The sequence below is a fragment of the Homo sapiens genome, chromosome 10 (genome assembly GCF_000001405.40).
Source record: "Homo sapiens chromosome 10, GRCh38.p14 Primary Assembly".
NCBI lineage: Eukaryota > Metazoa > Chordata > Mammalia > Primates > Hominidae > Homo > Homo sapiens.
In genome coordinates, this window is record NC_000010.11 from 37,806,522 (window position 1) to 37,827,052 (window position 20,531).

Consider the following 20,531-nt stretch of genomic DNA (forward strand, 5'->3'; position numbering starts at 1 on the left):
GGGCCATCTGAATATCTTTTTTTTTAATGTCTACTCAAGTCCTTGGCCCATTTTTTAATCAATTTGTTCATTTTGTTGTTGTTGAGTTTTAGGAGTTATCTATATATTCTGAATATTAATCTCTTATCAAATATGTGTTTTGCAAACATTTTTTCCCATTTTGTGTGTTGCCTTTTCATTCTGTTGATAGTGTCCTTTAAAAAACATAAAAGCGTTATAAATTTTGATAAAGTAAAATTTGTCTATTTTTTCTTTTGTGGCTTGTGCTTTTGGTGTCATATCCAAGAAATCATTACCAAATCCAATGTCATTAAGCTTTCCCCCTGTGTTTTCCTCTAGGAGCTTTACAATCTTAACTCTTACATGTAGGCCTTTAATCCATGTTGAGTTACTTTGAGAACATGGTGTTAGGTAAAAATCCAACTTCATTCTTTTGCATGTCAATACCCAGTTTTCCCAGCATTTTTTTTTTCTTTTTTTGAGACAGAGTCTCACTCTGTTGCCCAAGCTGGAGTGCAGTGGCCCGGTCTCTGCTCACTGCAAACTCCGCCTCCAAGGTTCAAGTGATTCTCCTGTCTCAGCCTCCCGAGTAGCTGGGATTACAGGTATGTGCCGCCACACCCTCCAGCATCATTTTTTTAAGACTGTCCTTGCCATTAAATGGTCTTGGTACCCGTGTCTAAAACCATTTACCCATATTTTTGAGGGCCTCTTGGCTTTCTATTCTTTTTCATTGTTCTATACATCTGTCTTTATAGCAGCACCACACTATTACACTATTATGATTTATAGCTTTGTAATAACTCTTGAAATCAGGAGGAGTGAAAGCAAGGGGTGCGAGACCTCCAATGTTGTTCTTTATTAAAATTATTTTGACTATCGGGGGTCCCTTTGGATTCCATAGAAGTTTTTGGATATATTTTTCTACTACTGCAAAAACATCTTTGGTATTTTGATAGAGATTGCATTGAACCTGTAGATTGCTTTGGGTAGTGCTATATAGTATCTTAACAATATTAAGTCTTCCTATCAATGTACATGAATGGATTTACACATCTCCATTTACTCTTTAATGCATTTCAGCAACATTTTGTAGTTTTCAGTGTACAAGTCTTTTGCCTCCTTGATGTAGCTTTTTTGATGCTGAAATTGTTTTCTGAATTTCCTTTTAGGATTTTTTATTGTTAGTATATACAAACACAACTGATTTTTGTGTGTTGATTTTGTATTCTGCTCCTTTGCTGAGTCCATTTATTCTAACCATTTTTAGTGGATGGACTCTTTAGGGTTTTCTACATATAAAATCATATAAGAACAAAAAAAATTACTTCTGTCCAATCTGTATGCCTTTTATTTATTTTTTATTGCCTAATTGCTCAGGCTAGAACTTCCATATTATGCTGAATATAAACTTTCAGTCTTTTACCCGAGTACGACATTAGCTGTATATTTTTAATATATGGTTTTTATTACATTGACGTAGTTTCCTTCTATTTCTTACACATGTTGATTTATCACATGTGCATAGCTCATTATGAAAGAGTGTTGAAATATGTCAAATGGTTTCTCTTCATCAATTGACATCATGTTTTCATGTTTTTCCCTCCATTCTATTAATGTGATGTATTACATTAGGTGGCTTTCATATGTTGAGTCATCCTTGTATTACAGAAATAAACAGAAAAAAATCCTGCTTGGTCATGATATATAATCTTTTTTTCTTATTCCTGCTTGGTCATGGTATATAACCTTTTTTCTTTTTTTTTTTTTTTCTGAGACAGAATCTCGCTCTGTCACCCAGGCTGGAGTGGAGTGCAGGGATGTGATCTCAGCTCACTGCAACCTCCACTGCCCAGGTTCAAGCGATTCCCCTGCCTCAGCCTCCTGAGTAGCTGGGATTACAAGCACACCCCACCACACCTGGTTGATTTTTTTTAATTTTTAGTAGAGATGGAGTTTCGCCATGTTGACCAGGCTGGTCTCAAACTCCTGGCCTCAAGTGATCCACCTGCTTTGGCCTCCCAAAATGCTGAGATTACAGGCAGTAGCCACCATACCCAGCTGGTACACAATCTTTTCAACATGTTCCTGAACTCAGTTTGGTAGCATTTGTTGAAGATTGTTGCATTAGGGTTCATAAGGGATATTACTGTGCAGTTTCATTTTCATGTAGTATCTTTGTATGGCTGTGATATCAAAGTAATACTAACCTCACAGAACAAATTTGGAAGTGTTCCCTTCATTTTAATTTTTTGGAAGAGCCTAAAAAAGACTAATGTTAGTCGGTCTTTAAATGTTTGGTAGAATTCACCAAGGAAGGCATCACGTCTGGGGCATTTCTTTGTCAAGAGTTTTTTTTTCATTACTGATGCAGTCTCCTTATTAATTATGTACCTACATAATTTTCTATTTCTTCATGAGTCAGTATTGACTTATGTCAATGATATTGTGTTCCTAGATATTGAGCCATTTCATCTATGTTATCCAATTTGTTGTAGTAAGTTGTTCTTAGTACTTTCTTGTATTTTATTTCTGTAGAATCAGTATTTATATCCCTGTCTTCATTTCTGATTTTAGTAGTTTGAGTCATTTTCTTAGTCTAGTTAGCTAAGGGTTTGTCAATTTTGTTGTTGATCTTTTCAAACAACCAATTCTTGGTTTAGTTGATTTTCTCTATTGTTTTTCTATTCTTTGTTATCTCTGCCCTACTCTTTATTTCCTTCCTTCTGATACATTTGAGCTTAGTTCTTTTTATTTATTGTTTATTTATTTTTGAGACGGAGTCTAGTTCTGTCACTGAGACTGGAGTGCAGTGGCATGATCTTGGCTCACTACAGCCTCCACCTCCCAGGTTCAAGTGATTCTCCCACTGCAGGCTCCTAAGCAGCTGAGATTACAGGCACCCGCCACCATGCCTGGCTAATTTTTGTATTTTTAGTAGAGACAGGGTTTCACCATTTTGGCCAGGCTGGTCTTGAACTCCTGACTTGAAGTGATTCACCAGTCTTGGCCTCCCAAAGTGCTGGAATTACAGGCATAAGCCACTGCTCCCAGCCTTCAGTTAGCTCTTTTTCTGGGTCCTTAAGATGTAATGTTAGATAACTGATTTGAGATTTTTCTTCTTTTTAAAGGTAAGCACCTATAGCTATAAATATCCCCTTTAGCACAACTTTTGCTGCATCCCATAAGTTTCTGTATGTTTTGTTTCTGTTTTCAGTCATCTCTAAGTATTTTTCAATTTCCCTTGTGATTTTTTTCTTTTACTTATGGGTTGTTTAAAGGTATATTATTTAAATTATTTCCACAAATTTATAAATTTTCCAGTTTTCCTTTTATTATTATTTTCTAACTTCATACTGTTGTGGTCGTAGAATATACTTTGTATAATATCTATCTTTTAAAATCTATTGAGACTTAATTTGTGACCTAACATATGGTTTACCCTGGAGAATAACTAACGTGCATTTGAGAAGAATAGGTATTCTGTAGTAGTTGTTGTTGGATATAGTGTTGTGTACTACTTGATCCTAAAAGGGAGTATTGAAGCAAATTTTTAAATGCAGACCAGGTCTGGATAATCCCAGAGCAGACAAAGCCAGTTAGGCCCTAAAAATAACCTTAACCTTGATTGAACTGCAAACATAATTTAACTTAGATGTCTGTTAAATCAAGTTGGCTTATTGTGTTTTTAAGTCCTGTGTTTCCTTACCTTCTGTCTGGTTGTTCTATCCATTATTGGAACGACATATTGAAGTTTCCAACTATTATAGTAGAACTGTCTATTTTACCCTTTAGTTCTGTCAATTTTCACTTCATTTATTTTGATGTTATCTTATTAGGTGCATAAATGTTCATTATTGCTATATCTTCTTGCTGTATTGAATTTTATTAACATACAATATCCTTCTTTATCTCTTGTGACCTTTTTGATTTAAGGCCTATTTTGTCTGATGTTAACATACAGTTGACCCATGAACAACATGGGTTTAAACTGCATGGGTCTGTTATATATGGAGTTTTTCCAACATATTGGAAAAGTTTTTGGAGATATGTGACAATTTGAAAAAAACTTGCAGATAAACCATGTGGCCTAGAAATACTGAAAAAATTAAGCAAAAGAGGTATGAAATAAATGTATAAAATATCTGAAGATACTAGTCTATTTTATCATTTACTATCTAGAAATACACAAATTTCCTATAAAAAGCTAAAATTTATTAAAACATACACAAATAAAGACTGTACATGGTACCATTAGCTGTCAAGAGAAATGTTAACAGACGTGAAGAGGTAGTATTCAATCATAATGGCATAAAATTACCTGTAGTATATACTATACTACTATAATAATTTCAGAGCCAAGTCCTGTTGCTATTGTGGTGAGCTGAAGTATCCGCTTAAAATATCATGTAAAGCTAATCATCTTTGTGTGAGCAGTTCATTTCTCCAGTAAACTGCATATGACAGTAAAAGTAACCTCTTACAGTTTTCACATATTTTTCATCATTTTTAGTGCATTTCCATAAACACTGAATAACACTATTGGACCCATATGAAGTACCACTAGTGATGCTGCAAGTGCTCCCAAGAAGCAGAGAAAAGTCATGATATTACAAGAAAAAGATGGATTGCTTAATATGTACTTTAGATTGAGGTGTGCAGCTGTGGTTACCCACTGTTTCAAGATAATTGAATCCAGTGTAAGAACCACTGTAGAAAAAGAAAATTTATGAAGCTGTCACTGCAGCTGTGCCACAGGTGCAAAAACTTTGCACTTTTAGCAAAATACCTTGTAATCTCATATTGAAAATGCAGTTTTTATGTGGCTGCAGGATTGCCATAAGGCACACCTACAGACTCTAATGCAATCTGAGAAATAGTGAAGTTATATGACAACTTAGAGCAAAAAAATAAATAAATAAATAAAATAAAAAATAAAAAAAACCATGAAGGATTTAAAGCTAGACAATTTAAAGCCAGCAAAGAACGGCTTGATAGTTTTAGAAAGATGTTTGGCTTTAGAAATTTCTAGGCCAGGCGCAGTGGCTCGTGCCTGTAATCCCAGCACTTTGGGAGGCAGAAGTGGACAGACTGCTTGAGCCCAAGAGTTCAAGACCAGTCTGGGCAACATGGCAAAACCCTGTCTCTACAAAAAAAAAAATATATATATATATATTAGTCAGGTGTGGTGGCATGCCCCTGTAGTCCTAGCTGCTTGGGAAGCTGAGGTGGGAGGATTGTTTGAGCCAGGGAGGTCAAGGCTGCAAGTAAGCTGTGATCATGCCACTGTACTCCAGCCTGGCTGACAGTGAGATGTTGTGTCAAAAAAAGTAAACAATAAAAATTAAAAAGTCACAATAACAGAAGAATCTGCTTCTGCTAACCAAGACGCAGCAGACAAGTTCCCAGATGCCATTAAGAAAATCACTGAGGGTTTGGCGCAGTGGCTTACATCTGTAATCCCAGCACTTTGGGAAGTCAAGGCAGGCAGATTGCTTGAGCCCAGGAGTTCGAGACCAGCCTGGGCAACATGGCAAAACTCCATCTCTACTAAAAAATACAAAAATTAGCCGGTCATGGTGGCACATGCCTCTAGTCCCAGCTACTCGGGAGGCTGGGGTGAGAGGATCGATTGATCCCAGGAGGTCAAGTCTGCAGTGAGCCATGACCGCTCCACTGCACTCCAGCCTGGGTGACAGAGCAAGACCCTGTCTCAAAAAAAGGAAGAAAGAAAATCATTGAGGAGGAAGGATATCTGCTTGAACAGGTCTTTAATGTAGACAAAAGTGTCTTTGGGAAAAAAAAAAGTGCCACAAAGGACATTTGTTACTAAGGAAGAGAAATGGACACCAAGATTAAAGGCAGGAAGGGAAAGGCTAACTCTACTTTAGTACAAATGCAGCTGGGTTTATGATTAGGTCTGCCTTTATCTATAAAACTGCTAACACCCAGCCTTGAAGAGAAAAGATAAACATCAGCTTCCAGTCTTTTGGTTGCACAATACAAAGGCCTGGACAGTGAGAACCATTTTTCTGGATAGGTTTCACCATGCTTTGTCCCTGAAGTCAGGACATACCTTTCTAGTAAGGGGCTGCCTTTTGAAGCTCCTTTGATATTGAGCATGCCCCCGGCCACCCAGAACCCCAGCAGTTCAACATCAAAGACATCAAAGTGGTCTATGTGCCCCCAGACAGTGTCTCTAATTCGGCCTCTAGATGAGGAGGGCATAAGGAACTTTAAGGTTCATTACAATGGTACTCCATGGAAGGATGGTTAATGCTATGGAAGAGAACCCTGATAGAACACCATGAAAGACTGGAAGGATGACACCACTGGCACTGAAGATGGCGTGACTGTTACAGAAAAAGCCATAGAAGCCATTGACCCCAAAACAATAAATTCCTTCTGGAGAAAACTATATCCGGATGTTGTATATGACTTCACAGAATTTATGACAGAGCCAATCAAGGAAATCATAAAAGAGATCGTGGATATGGCAAAAAGAAAAAAAAAAAAAAAGGTGGTGGAAGCAGGAGAGTAAAGATTTCAATACATGGATCTTGGAGAAATTCAAGATCTCATAGACTTCACAACAGAGGAATTAACAGATGACTTGACAGAGATGAGCACTTCCAAAGCCCGACCATGAGGCGTAAGACGTAGAAGAACGTACAAGAAACAATGTCGTAAAACAAACTGCCATTAGACAGTCTGGCAGAAGGTTTCCAATTATTTGAGACTGCTTTTAACTTCTTTTATGACATGGACCCTTTTATAATACAGGTGCTGAAATCAAAACAAACAATAGGACTGTTACTGTACAGATACCTTTTTAGAAAAGCAAAAAGCATCAGACAGAAATTATGATGTAGTTCTGGAAAGTTATACCACGTGTGTTTGCCTCTCCTGCCTCCCTTCCATCTCCTCCACTTCTGCCTCTGCCACCCCTGAGAAAGCAAGACTGACTCCTCCTCTCCCTCCTCCTCATCAGCCTATTCAATGTGATGACAATGAGGATGAAGACCTTAATGATGATCCACTTCCACTTAATGAATAAACATTTTTATCTTCCTTACGATTTTTTTTTCTTTACCTTACTTTATTCTAAGAATATAGTATATAATACATATACATAATACATGTTAATCAGCTGTTTATGTTATTGGTAAGTCTTCTGGTCAATAGTATGCCACTAGTAGTTACATTTTGGGGGAGGCCAAAGTTATGTGCGTGTGCATGTGTTTGTGTGTGTTTCTGTGTTGGGGGTCAGTGCCCCTAACCCACCACCAATTGTTCAAGGATCAACTGCACTCACTCCTGCTCTTTTTACAACTTGCATGGGATATCTCTTTTCATTCTTTCACTTTTAACCCGTTAGTGTCTTCGGACACAGATTAGAACCTGAGTCTCTTGTAGACAGTACTGTTCAATCACATTTGGTTTTATTTAATCCATTCTGATTTTGATTGAAGAATTTAAGCCATTTACATTTAAAGTAATAACCAAAAATGAAGGATCTACATCTATCATTGCGCTTTTGTTTTCTATGTCTTACAGCATTTTTGTCCCTCATTTCCTGAATTACAGCTCTTTTCTTTTTAGTAGATTTTTGCTAGTAAAATCTTTTAATTCCCTTCTCATTTCTTTTTATGTGTGTTCTCTACAGCTGTTTTGTTACATTTAACATCCTAAAGTCATAACACTATAAATTAAATTTATACTAGCTTAACCTCAATAACATACAAAAAACTCCGCTCCTACACAGCACTGTCCCCACCACTTTTTAAGTTATTGATGTCAAAAAATGACTTCTTTATACATTGTGTCCAGAGACACAAAACATTTTTACGCATTAGTCTCTTAAATCATGTAAAAATCAAAAAGTGGAATTACTAACCAAAGTTACAGTAATACATCTTTGTATTATAACTCCCTGTGCATTTACCTTTATCAGATATCTTCATTTCTTTTATGGCATTAGTTTCTGTCTAGTGTCCTTTCATTTCAACCTAAAGGACTCTTTTCAGCTTTCTTGCAGGGCAGGTCTACTGCTATCAGACTCCCTCAGCTTTTGTTTATCCAGGAATGTCTTAATTTCAGCCTCACTTTTGACAGAAAATTTTACCAAATACAGGATTGTTTGCTGACAGATTTGTTTTTCCCTTCAGCATTTTGAACATTTCAACCCACTGCCTTCTGGCCTCCAAGATCTGATAAGAAATCTGCTAATAACTTTATTGAGAATGGCTTGTATGTATGTATGTTATGTATAAGCTGCTTCTTTCTTGCTGCTCTAAAACTTTGTCTTTGGCCTTTGACAGTTTGATTATAATGTGCCTCAGTGTGGGCCTCTTTGATTTTATCTTACTTGAAGTTTATTGTGTTTCTTCTAGGTTTATATTTATATATTTCATCAAATTTTAAAATGTTTCACCAATTATTTCTCCAAATTATCTCTATGCTTTCTCTATCTGGCACTCCGAACAATGCATATATTCATCCACTTGATGGTGTCCCACATGTCTCTTAGGCTTTCTTCATTTTTTTTTCAGACTTTTTTTTTGAGATGGAGTCTCGTTCTGTACCCCAGGCTGCAGTGCAGTGGCATCATCTTGGCTCACTGCAACCTCTGCCTCCTGGGTTCAAGCGATTCTCCTGCCTCAGCCTCCCAAATAGCTGGGATTACAGGCACATGCCACCATGCATGGCTAATTTTTGTACTTTTAGTAGAGACAGTTTCACCATGTTGGCCAGGCTAGTCTCAACTCCTAACCTCAGGTGATCTGCCTGCCTCAGCCTCCCAAAGTGCTGGGATTATAGTCATAAGCCACCGCGCTCAGCTTCAGTCTTTTTTCTTTCCTTAAATTTGATTTCAATGACCCTATCTTCAAATTCACTCATTCTTCTGCTTGCTCAAATATGCTTTTAAATCCCTCTAGCAAAGTTGTTGTACTTTTCAGCTCCAGAATTTGTTTTCTCTATCTTTATTGATGTTTCCATTTTGTTTATAGTTTTCTTGACTTTGTCCACATTATCTTTTAGCTTTTTAAACATCTTTAAGACAGTGTTTTAATTTGTCTGGTAAGCCCACAATCTGGTCTTTTTCAGGGACAGTTTCTTTTCTTTTTTGCTTTCAATTAGTCATACTTTCTTGTTTCTTTGTTCATCTTTTGATTTTTTTGTTGTTGTTGAAAAGTGGACATTTGAAATTTATGGTGTGGTATCTCTGGAGATCAGATTCTCCCCATTACCCAAGGTTTGCTAGGCTTTTTGTTCTCATTCATTTATTTTTAAAAAATAGTTACAGGGTGTCTGCATATGAAAGATTAGACTGAGATGTAAACTTAAGCTCTTCTGAGGTCACTTCTGAGCCTGGACCTTTTCCTGGGCATGTGTGGCAACTTTCTAAATTCCTCTGTATACGTGGTTGCTAAAGGTCCCAGTCCTTACATTTCTGGTTCCGATAATGGAAAAAAAAAAAAAAAGAGAGAGAGAGAGAGAAATGAAGGGGAAAGCACGAAGTCTTTAAATCCTCAGGAATTTACTTCATCTAAAACATGGGTGCTAGAAAGAACTATTTCACTTTCTCCACCCTAGGCTCTGGGAATGGCTCAGAAATTTTGCCAAGGAAGGGGGGATGAAGGCCAGGGGGGAAGCAATTCATTAAATCAAAAGAGCATCTCTCCAGTGAATAAGGGGAAGGACTTGCAACAATGGCAATGAGTTACAATAGCCGCTCACCTCTGTGTTTACACCTCCGTGTCTGCACCTCCACGATCAGAAGGAGCAATCAGTGACTAGAGCACAGTTCCCCAATATTTGCAGGACAGGGTCCTTAATGCCTATCCTGGCTTCAGCAAGCTGCTTCAGGAACACATACAAAGCTGCTGGCACGGGTGATGGGTAGCCACTACCATGCTCAGAGCTAAAATTAACCACACGTAACCACAATTTGCCATACAAGCCTTCCTACAGGAACAGCTTCTGAGGTCAGTACTGGAGGTTTGTTCTGACACAAGGGGGGCCTATTATTAGTTGTCTCTTTCGTTGGTTCACCTCTGGTAAACACGTGGCCTATGTTTAGCTTGGAATTCTCACTGAAGCTGTCAGCTGCTTCTTGTTTTTCATCAAAATCTCGTTTTTGAGTACCCTTAGATTTGACCTTTCCTGTACACTCATTCAAATAAGGTCAGTTCATTAGCAGAGTTTTTGACCTCTTGATTTTATGAATTGTTTTCCCCACTTGGTGAAATCTCTGAGCCATGCCCCAGAGGCTAAGGTGGAGAGAGTGGAATGATTATTTCTAGGAACCGTGTTTTAGGAGAAGGGTGCTGGGTAGGGAGGGTAAGAGGGTGCTGGTCTTCTAGGCTTTCCTCTTCTGGCTTGGAACCTCCACACTACTAAGTCAAAGTAAGGGTAACTGGGCCCCTATATTCTCAGGACACCATGCCTGAGATAGAGCCTGTGTCATGTGAATGGGGTCTGGGTGGAAGGGAGTCCGGGATTTCTCCTCAGCTGTACTAACCTGCAATTTAGCCTCTTAAACAACTTGCAGGAGATGTATGAGAAATACTAGCAGCCTGCCCCTCCCATGTAGATGCCACTGCCCTCAAATGGGAGCTGGGAGGCAAGGGAGCTCTGTTTTCTTGGCTGCACCCACTTAGAGTTTGTCATATTGACCTGGGAGGAAGACGGGAGGGCACTGATTGTGGTTCAAATACCACAGACTCTCACTGTTCCTAATGACTTTTAGTAGATTTTTCTTGAATAAGTAGTGGTTAGTTGCTGTATGCCCTAAGAACCACTTCCAAAGACCTATATAATTTTTTTTTGCATGGATGAACCTTTATTTTTAAAAAAAAAATAGCACTTCAAATAAATTAAAAGGGACAACCATCAGGTATTCAAATTGTGAAGAAATAGTTGAAAACCTAGAGAGACTCCAAGCCACAGTCTTCTAACCTCATTCTTTGTCCAATGACAAAAACCCACACATCTCAGTACTCCCACTCAATTTTTTCCCTACTGAGGAGGGAAGCAATTGCAAACAGGAGACCAGAGAGAGGAGAAAGCTGCATCTGATTGGAATGAACATTGCCACGTACTTGCTAATATGGGTTTCACTTTACAACCAAATGAATTCTTTCAAATATAAAAAAGGGGAGAGGGAAGCTGCATGTTTTTAAAAATTGAAATTATTTAGGGATAAAACACTAACTCTAGTGTCTTTAATAGGCAACAGCATTTTTTCCCCCCGAAGTCAAACACCATCCCCAGCTGAGCCTTTGTGCTACAAACTTTTTAGAAGATGTTACCTAAACTTTATTAAAAGAACAAGTCTAAATATAGACACTGGACTAGCCTAGTCTGTATTTTCTTTTTTATTTATTATTTATTTATATATTTATTTTTGAGACGGAGTGTCACTCTGTCGCCCAGGCTGGAGTGCAGTGGCGTGATCTCGGCTCACTGCAAGCTCCGCCTCTCGGGTTCACGACATTCTCCTGCCTCAGTCTCCCAAGTAGCTGGGACTATAGGCGCCCACCACCAAGCCTGGCTAATTTTTTTGTATTTTTAGTAGAGACGGGGTTTCACTGTGTTAGCCAGGATGGTCTCGATCTCCTGACCTTGTGATCCACCTTCCTTGGCCTCCCAAAGTGCTGAGATTACAGGCATGAGCCACTGTGCCCGGCCTTCTAGTCTGTATTTTCAAGTCCACAATCTTCATCTGAAGCATTGCATCAGGAACCCCCGTGAGTCTGCATGTTTTCAAGTTCACAGTACATGGAACCAGTTTTTCTTTTTAGTTTTTTCCTCACTCAGAGCAGCCATACACAGTGGCCATTGACGCCAGAACCTCATGCCGGGCCTTTTCCTATGAGGCCTGGCTGGAGCTGCCCATGGTTTCTCCTTAAAGAGAATCCATGCTGTCATGCTCAGTGGATGGGAAAAAAGCAACAAAATAAGCACCTGGTTCAGGTTTCATCAGATCCATTCAGATTCTCTACGTTCCAAACCTGCTGCTAAATGCTATTTGTCCACTTTGTGTGTGTTGAACAGTTTGTGGCCTTGGAGTCAGTCTCAATTCGAAGAACAGCTGTTGGACACCCCAAAGGTTGATGCAATAGCAGCCCCAGCAGGGCTACTCACAAAGACCAATTTTTGGATATAATGCAGCAAGTAGGGGGTCACAGGCCAGTTGCTGGGCATCAATGCAGTCCTCCTTTTGGTAGGCCAAACATCGTCAAATAAACGCCTTTGCTTCAGGTGTTACTACTCATTTTGGTGGGAACTGCACTTCAGCAGCTTTAAGAATAGTATTCTCTTGTAGGATGTCTTGCTGAGACTGGTTATAGCCAAAAGGCTTCCCTCCAGAAAGACACTGATAGAAGATCACACCCACCGACCACACAACAATTTTATTTGAGATCTTTGGTGGTTCTTTCTCAACCACAAAACTCTGGTGTTAAATTGCAATAAGTGCCAGCACCTTGTGATGTCAGCTCCATGCCACCCACTGAATTGTAGCTATCATCATCCATGATCTTCGAAAGACCAAGCTCTGTAATTTTTCTCTCTCCACACACTGTACCATTTACTAAAAGAATATTCCCTGGTTTGAGGTCATAGTGTATGATGGGAGGTTTTATTTTATTTAAGTACTTTAAAGCATTTACAGTCTGCATGATAATGGACCAGGCCTCTTTCTCTGACATTAATTTGTGCCGTTTCAGATAGAAGTTTAGATCATTTCCCTCACAGTATTCTAACACTGTACAAAATGAGTCAGTATCCAGTGAAAAGTAATCATACAGCTTAATTATTCTGGGATGATCCAGTTCTTTATGAATCCAGTATTCCCTACATGCATGCTTGTGGTAATTCTCCTTTTTCTCATCTCTCCAGTTTTTATTTAACTGGTGAATTTTCACAGCTACGTATCTTTGCTCTATTAGTTCAAATGCCTTGTAAACTTTACTGAAACCTCCTCTATCCAAAAGATGTAACAACAAATATCTGTCATTTAGCATTGGATGATCTTTAAATTGTGAGTTATCTTCATTATGTATCCTTTTTAGTTCCCCGATACGTAGATTTCTAACCCTTTCTAGCCTTTCCAGCTCTGCCTGGATCTCTGCTTCCTCCTTTTTAAGATGACCTAACCGGAGTTTGAAGATTTCTTCTTGTTCATGGTATTCTGCTAATGTTAACGTTTTATTTTCAGCTCCATTGGTCCTGCTTTTCCACTGTTTCTGCTCACTGGTTGCAGGAGGGTCCTGACCCATGGCAGGAGGTTTCCGCTTTGCTAACATTTTCCGTTGTCTATCTCTTCCCTCTGTGAATTTATCCTTTTCTGATGCTTGATAAGATTCTGAAAAGCATAACCATCTGCCCATTGTTCAGTAAACGAGGCCCCATGTCGGACAGTAGTAAAGCGGCCCCATCTCAAGCGGTCTTGCATGCTCTTATCTCTACATGCCATCTTCTCTTTTTGACTTTTCTATGAGGACTTTCTTGCTCATTGTCACACATCTATTTAATCATCCTTGTATCTCTGTAGCATCTTTTGCTGTTCATCAATCTGCTGTGTCAAATCACAGTTGGCTCTTAATAAATCATCTATTCTTCCCTCCTTCTTAAGTCAGAATTCTTACTGTTTTCTAGTGCAGATATTTTTTATATTGTGAGGTCGGACTGGGTCTGTCTGTGCCAGATGGAGATCTGTTTTTGGGAGCTGCAGAAATGCTCTGTGTTGCCAGATCTCATAGATGAGGGACTGTTTTGCTGAGCTGAAACAGAAGTGAAGCACAGGCCAGCTCCCCTTTGTGCCAGCTGCTCTGGGTCAAGCCGAGGTTTTGTTAGCATTGCTGACATGAGGCTGTTGGCAGAGCAGACTGCTCCTCCGTTGCCTCCTTTGCAGTGCTGCCATCTAAACCACAGAGGGGCTGTTCTACTTGTCACAGTAAGGGATTGGATAAGGAATGTTGCGGTGAGGATCGTGCAACTGGTGCAACACTTCTGCCAGGGCTGGTCCCTGGCCCGCTTCCCCCAGCAAACTCAAAGTAATCACTAATTTTACGTCCCCCAGCAGTGCCTTTCCCTTGGCTAGTTTCATGTGGTTCGGCTTTTCTTTTCCACTTTCGCTGGTCATTCTGCTTTTTCTCGGGAGTCTCTACTTCTTTATCACTCAAGGATCCCATGCTGCACAAGCTCTGGTTGGAAGACTCACTATTAAGTGGTCCCTTTTGTTAAATCTGATGTACTCTCCTTCATTTTGCCTTTTGTTTCCTGATTTTCCAACTCTTGAATATTTCCCATTCTGTTTTGCATGTATTTATTTCTTCTTGCATATTTATTGTTTTTTCCTCTTCTAGTTTTCCTTACTAATACCTACTCTAGTAAACCTGGCCTCCAATAATTCCTGCCGTCGTGGGTCCAGGCTATGCAATTCTTCCATCATTTCTGGCTGGCAGAGCGTCTCCCGAGACTAAAGGTGCTCTGGGATCCCAAAGACCTACATAATTTTAATCAGTTATGCTCACTTCACTGAGAAGTAGGTCTACAGAGGTCCTCATGCTGCCATTGTGGAAGTCATGGTAACTTTTTATATTTATTGCCCCACTAGAAAATAAGTTCTATAAAAGCACAGAGTTTTGTCTGTTTCATCTAGAAATAACTCCTAAGCAACTACAAAAATGACATACCTATTGGTTGGATGAATATATTTAGGATTTCCTTGGTTCTTATTTAACTCTCAGAATAACCCCACAAAGTAGGTACTACTGCCATTCGCATTTAGAGAGGAAGAAACTGAGGTTTTCAGTAGTTAAATTACCTGTCCAGTCACATATTTGTTAAGTGTGGTGGATGTATATGCAGGCCTCACTGACTCCAAAGTCCATGCTCTTGAACAGTGTGCTTTACTATGGACTGCTCACACCCCTCAGTCCAGCTCTTACTAGACGGCCTTTAACAACTCTTCAATCACATTCAAGAGCCTCACTCCGCAGTACAGACAGCTGCAGAGGGTCAGTTCTTCTGGAATTAAGGCCTGCACATTTTACTGAACATACCTGGCCACTTACACAGGGAGCTTTCCTCAAAGAAAGCAACAAAGGCAACCACAGCCAACCCACTGCTCAGTCCCAGTCCCTACCCTTACTCCCTCTTCAACCCTGACCCTGGAGCACAGCCTATCCTCAAAAGCCTTTACCTACATCCAGGACAGGCTTGAAAACACAAGACGCTAATGGATTCCAATGACAGTCATTTGGAGTTTTGGATCCCATCTACTATAAGCTAATCTCACCTTCTTTTCTCTGTAACTACCAAATACCACTGAACTCCCCTCAAACCAATTCCAATTCCAAAGTGCACAAACTACCTCTCCAGTTCTCTGCCCAGAACCAGTTCTACGCCCAGAACCAGTTCTCCAAAGGATAAAGGCTAAAGACTGGAGCCTCAGCAATCAGCTCCCTCAGAGGCTGGAGACAACATAAGCCCCCCATAAGGGGCTATGCCTTCCCCTCCCGGTGTCGTCAGAGGCCCAACTCATCACATTGCTGAATTTAGTGTCCCATGAGCCACTGTAGACACTCGGTAGCAATCATTCCAAAAGTTGTAATAAGTTGGTGCTGCTCAAATTAATCTCTCCCTGGAGGCCTTGCCCCTTCACAGTCACAAAGGACATGGTCTGGAGCGGTCTTAAATAACAGCCTTGTCTACATAGAAAGCTACCACAAACTGCGTATCAATTTCACTTGTGAACACAGAAAAAAACATTTAAATAAAGCTGAAAACGAGAACAACAATTAAAGTGTCATCTCCATGACTGTTTTCCCAGGTTGCAAAATACATCAACTTGGAAAAACTATATATATATTAAACAAAAATGAAAAAAAATTCAGAAAACAATCTAAAAGAAATGATTCATCCTCTCAGTTCATTTGAAGTGCAAAGTCTGACATTTCTACAAAGGGCATGATGGTTTGTGATAATCTCTTCACTGAACTGTGTACCATGAGAATCTTCAGTGGTAAATATATATTTATTAAATACATATTAATAAAATGTCTCTGTTATATTCATTATAATAATATAGTCAAGATCAGGGGTGTCCAATCTTGATCAGGGGTGTCCAATCTTTTGTCTTCCGTGGGCCACAATGGAAGGAAGAAATGTCTTTGGCCACATATAAAGTACATTAACACTAACGATAGGTGATGAGCTAAAAAAAGTAAAAATAACACAAAAAAAGCTCACAATGTTTTAAGAAAATTTACAAATTTGTGTTGGGCTGCATTCAAAGTCATCCTGGGCAACAGGCAGCCCATGGGCCACAGGTTAGACAAGCCTGATCAAGATGTTTACATGTTCTAAAAAATACCTAGAATTAATGTGCGGTCTATGTGAAGGAAACTATAAAACTTGGTCAAGATGTTTACATGTTCTAAAAAACATACAGAATGTGCAGGCTATGTGAAGGAAACTATAAAAGTTTATTGAATGACAGCTTAAAAAATGCAAACAGTGGCTGGGCACGGTGGCTCACACCTGTAATCCCAGCACTTTGGGAGGCCGAGGTGGGCCAATCACGAGGTCAAGGGATCAAGACCATCCTGGCCAACATGGTAAAGCCCTGTCTCTACTAAAAATACAAAAATTAGCTGGTCATGGTGGCACGTGCCTGTAGTCCCAGCTGCTCGGGAGGCTGAGGCAGAAGAATTGCTTGAACCTGGGAGGCGGAGGTTGCAGTGATCCGAGATTGCGCCACTGCCCTCCAGCCTGGTGACAGAGCGAGACTCCGTCTCCAAAAAAAAAAAAAAAAAAAAAAAAAAAAAGCAAATAACAACAGGAACTAATCATTTTTTAACAAAAAAATGAAACGTATTATGTCACAACATTCCAAACAAATTCTCAACGTTCTATATTTTCAAATCTTCTGTACTGCAGCTAGAACAAATGTAAATTTTATGTGAAATAATGAGGGGGGTCAAGAATTTTGTGAAGATACAGACTAAAGCTTGACTAGAGATGTGTCTTTATTTATTTATTTTTTGGTTGTTTTTTGAGACAGAGTCTCGCTCTGTTGCCCAGGCTGGAGGGCAGAGGCACGATCTCGGCTCACTGCAACCTCCATCTCCTGGGTTCAAGCGATTCTTGTGTCTTAGCCTCCTGAGTACCTAGGGCTACAGGCACATGCCACCATGCCTGGCTAATTTTTGTATTTTTAGTAGAGAGAAGGTTTCACCATGTTGGCCAGGCTGGTCTTGAACTCCTGACCTAAGGTGATCCACCCACCTCGGCCTCCCAAATTGCTAGGATTACAGACGTGAGCCACCATACCAGGGCAAAGATGCATCTTTAATGGCTACGATAAACTAAGTATTTTAGAGTCTGAAAAAAAATATGTAAAGGCCTAAGATGATGTAAGAATTCAGTATATGATAATGGTGGCTATGTCAGTTTTCCAGAAAAATTGAACCAATAAGATGTATATATAGAAAGAGCTTTATGATAAGGAATTGGCTCACCTGATTATGGAGGCTAGCAAGTCCCAAGATCTGCAGGTTGAGTTAGCAAACTCGGGGCCCAGGAGGACTGAGAGTGTTATTCCAGGCTGAAGGCTCAAGACCCAGGAAAAGCTAATGTTTCAATTGAGTCTAAAGGCAGGAAAAAGCTGATATCCAGTTTGAAGGTCACTGGTAGGAATTCTTACTCACGAGTGTTGGCATTTTTGTTCTATTCAGGCCTTCAATCAGTTGGATGAGTCCCACCCACTCTCATCTGCTTTACTTAGTCTACTGATTTAAATGTTAATCTCATCCAATACCCCCTCACAGATATACCGAGAAGAATGTTAGACCAAGCATCTGGGCACCCCATGACCCAGTCAAGTTGACATATAAAATTAACCATCACAGTGACATTTCAAAGTAGAGAGAAATAGGTCTATTTAATAAATGGTGTTGGGGTAAGTGGTTCTCTCTGTAGATCACATGGTACGTGTAAATGTTTACCTCACATAATAAATATACTTGATATGGAAATATAAAATTTAAACTACCAAAGCATTTAAAAATTATAATGAGCATTTATAATCTTAATGTTAAGACTGCATACCAATTGCAGAGGCAAAAAATTATTTTAAATTTTTTTTTTTTTTTTTTTTTTTTTTGAGACGGAGTCTCCCTCTGTAGCCCAGGCTGGAGTGGAGCGGCGCGATCTCGGCTCACTGCAAGCTCCACCTCTCCGGTTCACACCATTCTCCTGCCTCAGCCTCCTGAGTAGCTGGGACTATAGGTGCCCACCACCACACCCAGCTGATTTTTTTTTTTTTTTTTTTTTAGTAGAGACGGGGTTTCACCATGTTAGCCAGGATGGTCTCGATCTCCTGACCTCGTGATCTGCCTGCCTTGGCCTCCCAAAGTGCTGGGATTACAGACGTGAGCCACCGCACCCAGCCAAAATTACTTAAAAGCTTGAAGTAATTTGAAAACTTAAAAAAAAATATTCCCATAGACAAATGTTAAAGTATATCTCCCAGAAATGAGAAACACTATCCTGTTGATATGTTGTTCATAAAGTGAAAAAAGCAATAGTTTCCATTGTTCCTCTAAAAAGGTAAACTATATACTTAGATTTGTAAGAGCACATGAACCAAGAAAATATCTTAATAATCTTCCATGACTAGCTATTATAAAATGATGAGCACCTCAATTAAAGTGAGCCTAGTGATATAAGCCAACATTAAGAAAGTGAAGGGTAATTATTTTTAAATTGTTCAATGTCTGTAGAAAATTTAGAAACTAAAATGTTTAAGAAATATTTTATCATGTTATATTAGTAAGGTTGGAATTTTTTTAACAAAAAAAAGAACAGCACCCACTGTGACAATGGTGGGCGCACATTTCCAAATTTTTTCTTTTGTTTTTGAGACAGGCACTTACTCTGTCACCTAGGCTAGAGTGCAGTGACACAATCATACCTCACTGCAGCCTAAACTTCCCAGGCTTAGGTGATTCTCCCACCTCAGCCTCCAAAGTTAACTGAGATTATGAGTGTGCACCACCACACCCGGCTAATTTTTTGTATTTTCTGTAGAGACAGGGTTTCACCATATTGCCCAGGCTGGTCCTGAACTCCTAGGCTCAAGCATTCTTCCCACGTCGGCCTCCCAAAGTGCTGGGATTAGAGGCATGAGCCACCCCACCCAGCCGTCACATTTCCAAACTTTGAATGGGAATGAAATCCATACAGACCTCCTGGAGTCAGTTTCATTAGAACTGAAAATAAACTCACCCCTATTATCCAGAGAGTAGACTCTGAGAAATTAATTTGAAGACGACAACTTGGTTGCCCTGTGTCTGCAGGTGAAAAAAAAAAAAGGGGGGGAGAGAGAGAGAAAACTTGGACAAGTGTAGAAAGGTATATGCTCAAAGGTGTTCCTCCATAATGTTCATTTGTAAGAGTAAAAATATGGGAAGCTACCTAAAAGTGAGCCATTGATAGGATGTAGATAAAATATTGTTGATCCAGCAGAGAAATTTTAAGTAGTCGTAAAAATGATCAGGTAAGGGTAGAAAAACTAACATGGAAAACTGGTAATCGCGTATTGTAAATGAGTTCACCATATATATTGTATTTCCATTGTGTAAGTGTGTGTGTGTATCCTAAAAGGACACTGAAATATAAGAAGTAATATAAACCAAAAGTCCCTGGTAAAACTATCATGACACACAGATAACAGAAAGTACTATTTTCCCCACTAATTTTCTCATATAAATAAGTGGAAAAACACATTTTCAGAGAGTGTAACCGTATGACTTCTGTGGTAAAGTCATGTCAGTGATTTTAATGTCTATTTTCTGAGTATTATTTCCTCATCATTACCTACTAAACTAACTCCATGTTGTTTCATGGTTAAAGTTTTTCACAGCCTTTGATAGCATCTGACTGTTCTTCTAAAGTTATGGACGTTCAGGTACGTTTTTCATCACTACCACTAACATTACCAGTTTGAAAACTTAGGTAACTTTTCTATAGGAACTTTAAAATATTTTTAACTGTAATAATGTCACAATAATGTCTGTACAAATCACCAAATCATCTGAGAAAACTAAAAACCATACGTAATAGTAGTATCAATTCATCTACAGTTAATTTCCTGTGGATGAGCTGATACTACTATTTATTTCTCTTTAGAAGCAATTAAAAATACAACTTAAAACTCTCCGGCTATGCCTGGATCTAATTCCAGGCAACAAATCTCTTATGATTTTGTACATATTCTAGCATTTGATTAATATTCTGACCATATTTCTTGATTTGTAATACTCAAATGCCCATAAAACTCCAGTGTATTATAAATTCTCTACAGGCTCATATATATTGGTTACAGTGCATGGAAAAAGGCCCAGACAGAACTAAAAACCAAGTTACTTTAGGGAAGTGAACCAATATGTGGGTGAGGTGGGTTGAAGAGAACTCATCTGTCAAATGCCAAAGAAGACTTATTCTCCCAGTAATGG

General features: G+C 39.2%; 1 protein-coding gene and 1 pseudogene across 33 annotated transcripts in view; both read right to left on the reverse strand.

Annotated features, from left to right (window-relative positions):
- The window catches only part of ZNF248 (zinc finger protein 248), a 99,566-nt gene that overhangs the window by 47,984 nt on the left and 31,051 nt on the right, over window positions 1-20,531 (reverse strand). For 2 of the 33 annotated variants that reach the window (NR_148007.2, NR_148000.2), the window contains exon 7: window positions 19,303-19,367. The exons of the other annotated variants lie outside the window; for them this stretch is intronic. The gene's annotated coding sequence lies outside the window, so the exon portion shown is untranslated. The remainder of the gene's footprint in view (window positions 1-19,302; window positions 19,368-20,531) is intronic. 33 annotated transcript variants of the gene reach the window in all.
- On the reverse strand, window positions 11,885-14,466 carry TLK2P2 (tousled like kinase 2 pseudogene 2; annotated as a pseudogene).